The sequence below is a fragment of the Homo sapiens genome, chromosome 6 (genome assembly GCF_000001405.40).
Source record: "Homo sapiens chromosome 6, GRCh38.p14 Primary Assembly".
NCBI lineage: Eukaryota > Metazoa > Chordata > Mammalia > Primates > Hominidae > Homo > Homo sapiens.
This window is the reverse complement of record NC_000006.12, coordinates 86,590,498-86,600,284: the sequence shown is the minus strand read 5'-3', so window position 1 is coordinate 86,600,284 and position 9,787 is coordinate 86,590,498. Positions and strand designations below refer to the sequence as shown.

At 38.7% G+C, this 9,787-nt stretch overlaps 2 annotated features.

The window, feature by feature from the left end:
• Positions 1,037–1,237: a silencer, noted in NCBI's record as "peak5941 fragment used in MPRA reporter construct". NCBI's record gives its function as "represses an SCP1 promoter by STARR-seq MPRAs in K562 erythroleukemia cells {active_cell/tissue: K562}" and the evidence as "EXISTENCE:reporter gene assay evidence [ECO:0000049][PMID:32103011]".
• Positions 1,456–2,008: an enhancer, noted in NCBI's record as "OCT4-NANOG hESC enhancer chr6:87307995-87308547 (GRCh37/hg19 assembly coordinates)". NCBI's record gives its function as "activates a minimal SCP1, AML or CMV promoter by ChIP-STARR-seq in naive H9 embryonic stem cells {active_cell/tissue: H9 hESC(naive)}" and the evidence as "EXISTENCE:reporter gene assay evidence [ECO:0000049][PMID:30033119]".

Genomic DNA, 9,787 nt, shown 5'->3' with positions numbered 1-9,787 from the left:
CCTTACTGTTTTGCCTAGCTCTCAAGTCTGTGTGCGGTGGCCACCACTGCCCTAATACTTTTAGAGGCCCTTAAAATCACAAACTATGCTCAACTCACTCTCTACAGTTCTCATAACTTCCAAAATCTATTTTCTTCATCACACCTGACACATATAATTTCTGCTCTCCAGCTCCTTCAGCTGTACTCACTCTTTGTTGAGTCTCCCACAATTACCATTATTCCTGGCCTGGACTTCAATCCGGCCTCCCACATTATTCCTGATACCACACCTGACCCTCATGACTGTATCTCTCTGATCCACCTGACATTCTCCCCATTTCCCCATATTTCCTTCTTTCCTGTTCCTCACCCCGATCACACTTGGTTTATTGATGGCAGTTCCACCAGGCCTAATCACCACACACCAGCAAAGGCAGGCTATGCTATAGTACAAGCCACTAGCCTGCCTCTTGGAACCTCTCATTTCCTTTCTGTTGTGGAAATCTATCCTCAAGGAAATAACTTCTCAGTGTTCCATCTGCTATTCTACTACTTCTCAGGGATTATTCAGGCCCCCTCCCTTCACTACGCATTAAGCTTGGGGATTTGCCCCTGCCCAGGACTGGCAAATTGACTTTACTCAACATGCCCTGAGTCAGGAAACTAAAATACCTCTTGGTCTAGGTAGACACTTTCACTGGATAGGTAGAGGCCTTTCCCACAGGGTCTAAGAAGGCCATCACAGTCATTTCTTCCCTTCTGTCAGACATAATTCCTCAGTTTGGCCTTCCCACATTTATACAGTCCTATAACAGACTGGCCTTTATTAGTCAAATCACCCAAGCAGTTTCTCAGGCTCTTAGTATTCAGTGAACTAATAGTCTTTGAAAAACACACCACACCAAGCTCAGCCACCAACTTAAAAATGACTGGACAATACTTTTACCACCTGCCCTTCTGAGAATTCAGGCCTGTCCTCAGAATGCTACAAGGTACAGCCCATTTAAGCTCCTCTATAGACACTCCTTTTTATTAGGCCCCAGTCTCATTCCAGACACCAGACCAACTTAGACTGTGCTCCAAAAAACTTGTCATCCCTATTATCTTCTGTCTAGTCATCCTCCTATTCACTGTTCTCAACTACTCATACACGCCCTGCTCTTGTTTACACTGCTGGTTTACACTGTTTCTCCAAGCCATCACAGCTGATGTCTCCTGGTGCTATCCCCGAACCGCCACGCTTAACTCTTAAAGTAAATAAATAATCTTTGCTGGCAAGCCTATGCTGAACCTCCTTAGGCATTCTCTAATTAGATGTCCTAGGTCCTCCCAATTCTTAGTCCTTTAAGACCTGTTTTTCTCCTTCTTTTATTCCATTTAGTTTTTCAATTCATGCAAAACTGTATCCAGGCCATCACCAATAATTCTACAAGACAAATGTTTCTTCTAACAACCCCACAATATCACCCCTTACCACAAAATCTTCCTTCAGCTTAATCTCTCCCACTGTAGGTTCCCACGCCACCCCTAATCCCCCTCAAAGCAGCCCCAAGAAACATCGCCCATTATTTCTCCATACCACCCCCCAAAATTTTCACCATCCCAACACTTTACCACTATTTTATTTTTCTTATTAATATAAGAAGACAGGAATGTCAGGCCTCTGAGCCCAAGCTAAGCCATCATATCCCCTGTGACCTGCGCGCACACATCCAGATGGCGGGTTCCTGCCTTAACTGATGACATTCCACCACAAAAGAAGTGAAAATGGCCTGTTCCTACCTTAACTGATGACATTGTCTTGTGAAATTCCTTCTCCTGGCTCAAAAGGTCCCCTACTGAGCACCTGTGACCCCCACTCCTGCCCACCAGAGAACAACCCCCCTTTGACTGTAATTTTCCTTTACCTACCCAAATCTTATAAAATGGCCCCACCCCTATCTCCCTTCACTGTCTCTTTTCAGACTCAGCCCGCCTGCACCCCGGTGAAATAAATAGCCTTGTTGCTCACACAAAGGCTGTTTGGTGGTCTCTTCACACGGACACAAGTGAAAATAATAGTAGCACGAAAAATTATTATTTTTTTAAATGACTTTTTTTCTCTAGGTTTAAAATACCCTTGTCAGTTGGTGACAATCAGAACCTGCACTCATAGCACATTCTTGGGGGATAAATTAGAAAACCCCAGAAACTTACAGTGACCTCACTCTCTACAATACATTTTATTTTCAGGATAGTTAGTGACTGAATCCCTAGAAATAACTATGTATATCTCAGTAGAGGATTTCACTGTCCTGCATTCTGATATTGATGGTTATTGCAGTAACTTAACAATAAGCTATTCTGCCTTATTGATAACAGGGCATCTTTTCCTTTCATTCACACTTGCCTCAAGTCCCCAGTTACAAGTCTCATGGCAGAAACTGAGTTTTCTGAAAGAAACATCAAGAGAAGCTCAGTAAAAGACTTTCGGGTACTTCTGGCTATTGATCCAAAAGGGTATGGATTCAAAGGTGCAGGCATCCCAGAATAACCTGGCATTGTTACCACGAGTAAAAGCCTCTCAGACAGAATTTCCAGAACACTTCTATTCTAGAAGTAGAAGACTTTGTGAACATGAGCTGCTCAGTTCCAGGCCAGCAAAACAAGATTAGTTACCTACAACTGCATTAACCTCATGTAATTGTAGTTAACATTCCATCTTTTTTAATTAGACATACTGTATAAGAAAATCTCCCCCTTCTTTTTTTCTTTTTCATTTATCACTAACCTTACTTTAACAGGCTAGACTTGTACAAACTGGAATAATATGCTTTTAAAATGCTATCTTCTTCCCACTGACTCCTCAAAATTTAGGGAAAAAAAAGATGTATAATAGGTATTCTCAAGCCAATAAATCATCAGGTAAAATTATTATATAAAGAATAATATATGATAATTCCCCTTGTAACATTATTCAGAATAATGGTTAAATATTTTTAAAGTGCCTTTACTGAATTCCTTTACTTTTCACAACCACGCAGTTATTTGCAGAGGTACAAAAATTTAGGTAAATTCAAAATTGCAACATGACCTTGCCAGAAATGTCATGTTTAAAGACAAATTCCATTTGATTAGGTTAAAAACTCAACTATTAAAGAACAAATAATAAACATTTTATGTGGTAATGGTACACACAATTTCCTTCAAAGAACCCAGCTGGCAACCTGCTACTTTGCTTACAGTCTTAGTTTTACAGGTGACAACAGTGTCATTTCCTGACACAGGGATATTTACAAAGTTAATGATACCACTACAGTTTTAGGAGGTGCACACAGAATCTGTATAGAAGAGAATTGGAAATCAGGGGCTCCCAGATTTGAAGTAAGCAAATTGAGTTGATGAGAACCATGCAAATTTGTCTGCCACATGAAAGTAATAAAAAGGATGACCCTAGGGGCTTTACCAAACTCCCACACAGGGGTTAACTCTCCAGCTTTGGTACCATATGGCTCTAGTTTTGTAAAACATACAATAAGAAGTTCCTTGTATATTAATACCTCTTGTTACAACTATGTAAATGGAATTGGCCAGATAAAACATCAAATTAATAATATTGAATCCAAACAAAACAAGACAACAGAAAAAACAAAATATTTGTTTAAATCCGTATTCTAAGGGTGGAATATGACCAAAAGGAGGGACTGTGAGAGAAAAACTGACATGAAGACACGAACCTTACTTTTATTATTAGTAAAATAATGTGCACATCATGTCCCAACTCAAGGAGAAGAAAATGCTTTGCATCCTGAAATTCCCACTCTGCCCTCCCCTGCAAAAATAAAATCAAACAAAAATCCAACAAGATCACTCTGTCTAGTGAGCCATTTTCTGTAAATGACTAACTCCTTGATAGAATGATACCCCTGACTTAAAATACTGATATATGTTCCTATAAGAAAATAGCTGCTTTCTACCAGGAAGAGACTATAAACTTAGAAACTTTAGTAATTTGGGGTCTTTTCTTTAAACTATCTAGTGAGTTTTTTTTTAATTTGGTGAGAAAAGTTAGCAACTAAAAATCCTCTCTCTTTGTAATTCTTCCATGCCTGTGTCTTCTTAATACAGTTATTATCCTGTAAAGAAAACCAAAGAACTAATTATGGTAAAAGTTAGGACGACTTTTAGTGAGAGAGTGAGTTTTGCTTAGGAGGGAGGAATCACTGGAGATGTGGCTTAGTGAAAGAAGAAAGGTAAAATAATACATATTTTCACCTTAGAGGAAAGGTGAAAATACATATTAAAAAAGGAGAGAAAAATAAATAAAATCTACACAAAAACAAGAACAACCACCACTCATATGGAGCCCTTGCAGAACTTGCAGGATCCTGGCCTGTGATGAGGGTCTATACTCTGGGCTATTTGCCTGACAAGAAGAATATCAGGACTGTAATGATGAAGGAAACAAGCCGATGTGGAAAAACGTTGATTCCTAAACACTGTGACCATCTGCTGGCCAAATGGCAAGATATACTTTGTTCCATGGCTGGGAACTGTTTGTAAAAAAGGTTACGTTGTGAACAGATGTTGTAAGTCTCTTTTTAAGAAACTAAAATTCAGGGGCAAAATTAGCTGGAATCAACTTTAAAAACAAGGCTTTAAAAAGCTGACATAAAACTCTAGGACCAGTAGCTAGCAAAAATGTGATTAGAACAGCTGTCTGGGACATTCCACCAAAATACCCTCACCCCAGAGGAGAGGCCTAACTCATTTTTGGAAATTGCAAAGGTGGATGAAACAGGCCTCAAGAGCAAGAGAAATTTTCTGTTTTTCTCTCTCTCTCTCTGCCCCTCCTCCTTTCTCTCTCTCTCTGAGTATTATTTTAAAAATGGATGTCATTTTTGTCTTATTCATAACTTATCTATGTTTGTTTTACTATAAATGTCTTAAATTACTTGCCATCAAGTTGGGGTTATGTTCTAAGAAGATTGAGAAAGTGTTTTTGTTTTGTTTTTTGAGACAGAGTCTTGCTCTATTGCTCAGGCTGGAGTGCAGGGGTGTGATCACAGCACACTGCAACCTCCACCTCTGGGGTTCAAGCAATTCTCCTGCCTCAGCCGCCCAAGTAGCTGGGACCACAGGTGCACACCACCACTAATTTTTGTAGTTTTAGTAGAGACGGAATTTCACCATGTTGGCCAGGCTGGTCCTGAACATCTGGACTCAAGTGACCTGTCCACTTGGGCCTCCCAAAGTGCTGGGATTACAGGCATGAGCCACCCTGCTCAGCCCAGAGTGCTCCATTTTTAAGCAGTGCCCCCCCTTGATTCTGAAAAGTCTGGGGTTGGAGCAAGACCTGGAACATCCATTTCCTTTCTCACTAAATATGGGTTCTGCCTTAAAACTCAGAGAGATGGGATTTTTGTCATAAAATTCTACTAAAACCCTCTTGTTTTAAATGAAAGAAAAACAGAGTTACAAGATTACAACATTAATTTGGCCACAAACCAAAACTGTAGTTCAGCTTTCCTAATTCCTACCTCAAATTATGTTCTATTCCATTATTAGACAAGCCCTGACAATTTCCTTGCATGTAGCCTGCTTCTCTGCTCAATTGTGCCCAGCTCCTAGCACAGAATCTAGCTCCTAGCACATAGTAGGTACTCAATAAATATTTGCTGAAAGAACAAATATTCAAATTTATATTTTTATGTGTGCAGTTGCTGAGTCACAAGAGTGTGTATTTTATGTTTTTATGGATGTTGCCAAAGATTGCTTTAAAATGATTCTGCAACTTGATCCTCCCACAAAAAATATGTGAAGGTGTCTGGGCAGCTACACTCTCACCAGCAATGACTTTCTTCATGCTTTAAATTTTTACCATTGAAATATTAAAAACTGCTATTTCTATGTTTTGATATTCTTGTTGTTCAATTATGTGAGAGGATGAACATCTTTCATCTGCTTTTGGGCCCTGTATTTCTTTTCCTGTGAATTACCTGTTCATATCCCTGTCCCTTTTATTATTGATTTGTTAATTTTTTAATCCTAATTTAAAGTTTTTTTTAGTTAAGGAAATCAGCTTTTTTTTCTGTCAAATGAGTTGCAAATGTTCCTCTCCATAGTTTTTACTACTTTTACTATAACTTCTTTTGATTCAGAAGTTTAAAATTTCTACATCAAGTTTATCAGTCCTTCTTTTGTAATTTATGGTTTTATATAATATTTAAAAGGCTTTTCCCTTGCAAGATTTCTTTTATATCAACAACATTTTTCTAGTGCTTTTGTTATTTAAGTTGATATATTGATTCTCCAGAAATATATTTTGATGGCAGAGGTAGGGATCTAGCTAACCAAATATTTGGGAACTGTTCAATCATTTAAAAAGTGCAGATACTTCAGAAATAGCTCTGATTGGGTCAGTGGTGACAACAGTTGGTGTCCAATCCAGCTTTGCCTTGGAGAATTTACATTTGGTATTCATCAATTCAGATAATAATATAAGGAGCACCACTTCTTTCCTCCCAATTCCTGAATGTTGTATCTCTTCACAAGTCAATTGCCAAGCTATGTGTTTTCATTACACGCTCATGCTCTTAGACTTTAAACCAGGAAATGTGGGTTCTCATCCAAACTCTGCCTGATCTTGTCATTTTGAGAAAATCTCTTTACTTCTGTGGATTTGTTTCTTTTTCTACACAATGATATATTAGATGATGACCTCCAAGATCTGTCCAGAAATAAAATCCTACAATCCTATAATGTCTCCCAATTCTGAATTCCCACACAACTTCACATCTGCCAATACTATGATCCACAATTGGATACCCGTTGGCATCCAAGAAGTATTCAATTTATACTCATCCCCTGTATTCCTCACCTCATAGAGCTTTTGCCTTGATGTTCCCTCTGCCTAGAATGCTTTTCTGACAATTATCTGCACATTTCTTAGCCTCTCTTTCTTCAGGTCTGTGATCAAATGCAACTCTGGCAGAGAAACCCTCTCCTACTACCTTAATAAAACAGCATATTTGATTCCCTAACTGTCATTCTTTTCACTTTCTCCTGCTTAAATTTTTGGAATGGAACTTTTAATACCCGACATATTTTTTATTTATATGTCATTGTATCCCGAAATAGTGTGTGTGTAAAACAGTTTTGCTGCCACAAAAAACAACGCCAATATTCCAGTAGCTTGTGGCAACAAACATGTCTTTCCTTATTTCATGTGAAGGCTGTGGGTAGGCTGCAGCTTTTCTTGGTTCTACTGTGTACAGCTAGGCTCAGCTAGGCTTGCTTCCATTTCAGGACTGAAGAAGAAAAAACATTGCTTCTCTAGAAGAAACTGTTCATACGGGAAAGGGGAGGAATACAAGGGTGACAGAGCCAAACAAGGAAATCTCATTTAAGAATTATGATCAGTTGTGACAGTCACATCTTCTCAAGTTCCACTGGCCAAAGCATGTCATGTGCTCAAGTGCAAAGTCAAAGAGTCAAATAGAATATACAGATGCTCCTTGACTTACAATGGGTTTATGTCTTGATAAATCCATTGCAAGTTGAAAATATTTTTAGTCAAAAGTGCATTTAATACACCTAATCTACCAAACATCATAGCTAAACCTAGCTTAACCTTAAACATGATCAGAACATTTTTACATTAGCCTATATTTGGGCAAAGTCATCTAACTCAAAGCCTATTTTATAATAAACTGTTAAATCTCACATGTAATTTAGTGAGTACTGTACTGAAAGTGAAAAACAGAATGGCTGTAGGGCTAGTTGAAGTATGTTTCTACTGAATGTGCATCACTTTCACACCATCATAAATTCAAATCATTGTTAAGTCAAAGACTGTATAATTCTTTAACAGAAGTCAAATGACGGTAACTAGGGTTCTCATTAGGTGAAATAATCCTATTGTTAGAAACAATAATCCAATCTATCAAGAAATATAAACTCTATCACTTAGTTCTTCTGCAGTATCCCTAAGATCTAAAATAGTAGGCATTTGGTAGAAACTATTTGAATGAATGAAAAAATAATGACTCTCATCCTTTGTAACTCCACTCTTACCGCTATAACTAACCTCCATTTGGCATCTGCTCTCACAACTATGGCTTTGTTGTGACATTAAGAGATGAGATGGATTGAATAATCTTTTAAGGTTCCTGGAATAATGAAAAACACTTTCCGCTCAGTAATAAAATGCTTTTATTTTATTAGGCCTTTTAAACAATGTATTTTTCTCACAAATTTTAGAAGAAGTATTGATATGCTACTAATGTAAATTTGGGATGTGGCAGCAACTTAGGCCTGCAGCATACTTGCCACTGCTAACTCCATTGGCACCCTCCACCACCCCTCCCACTCGGCACTGCTAACTCCATTGCCTCCCTCCCACACCCCTCCCACTTGGCACTGTCCACTCATGGCACAGGGAAAAACAGACATGAGTGAGGCTGGGAAGACAAAACCTTATATTCTTCTCCCTTGGTGAGGTAAAACAGCTTTTGGGATAAGTTATCTCATGGAGGGAATTCACACCAAAATATGTGTGATATCTAAATAATTCTGTTGCCTTTTTACCTGAGTTGCTAAGGCTGAATATCATTAGTGGCTAGGAGCTTGTGTTCTGGAGCAAAACAGACTGGGTTTAAACTCCTGGTGCCTTTTTTAGCTGTTTGACTTTGGGTTTGTTACTTAACTTTTCTAAACCTCAGCTTGAAATTTTGTGAATTTACTTGAAGAGTGGTACCTGCTTCATGGGTTGTCATAAGAATTTAAAAGGTGATGTTTCAAAGTGTTTAGCACAATGGTGGCACAGAGTAAACACCTGATAAATATCATATGTTATTTTCCAAAGGACTTGAATACGTACTGACTCATTATAGTCATAACATTACCCTTCTCTTAGACTGAGGAGGAAAAGAGAAGTAAAATAATTTGCTCAAAACCACACATTCAGGGCTGAAACTCAAGTTTCCTGACTATTATTACTCTGTTATCTGGATATAAAAGCTAGAACAGATGGAATCATATTAAACTGTTTATCAAGTTCCTATTTATTAATATATATTGTGAGGCTTCCATCCTCCCTCCAACCTCTGGTGCTATTTCTCAGAGTAGATCCACTGGACACTGGTTTCTCAGGTTCTTAATCATTGTTCCAGGAGAAAGAATCTGTGATCAAATTAGCTTAAGGCTGGATGTAAAAGGTTAAGCAGTTTTTATTTCTCTAGAGCCTTCAGTATGCTAATGTTCATTTTGAATCTCAGAAAAAGTTGCAGAACATAGTTGTATTAGTCAGGGTTCTCCAAAGAAACAGAACCAATAGGATATATATAGCTATACATGAGGAGATTATGGGAATTGACTTAGGGTTATGGAGGCTGAGAAGTCCCATAATATGCTGCAGTTTGCCAGCTGGAGAACCAGGAAAGTTGGTGCTGTAATTCAGTCTTTCTGAAGGCCAGAGAACTGGAAAAGCCAATGGCGTCATTCTCAGCTCAAGGCTAAAGGCCTAAGAACTGGGACTGGTTGGGAAGGCCCTATGGTGTAAGTCCTAGAGTCAAAAGGCTCACGAAGCAGGATCCCTGATGTCTGAGAGCAGTAGAAGATGGATGTTCCAGCTCAAGAACAAAGAGTGAATTTGCCCTTCCTTCACCTGCTGTTATAGCTGGGTCTTCAATGGGTTGGACGGTGCCTGCTCATGCTGGTGAGGGTGGTTCTTTTTCACCCAATCTACTAATTTGAATGCTAGTCTCTTCTGGAAACACCCTCACAGAGACACTTAGAAATGTTTTACCAGCTATCTGGGTATTTGT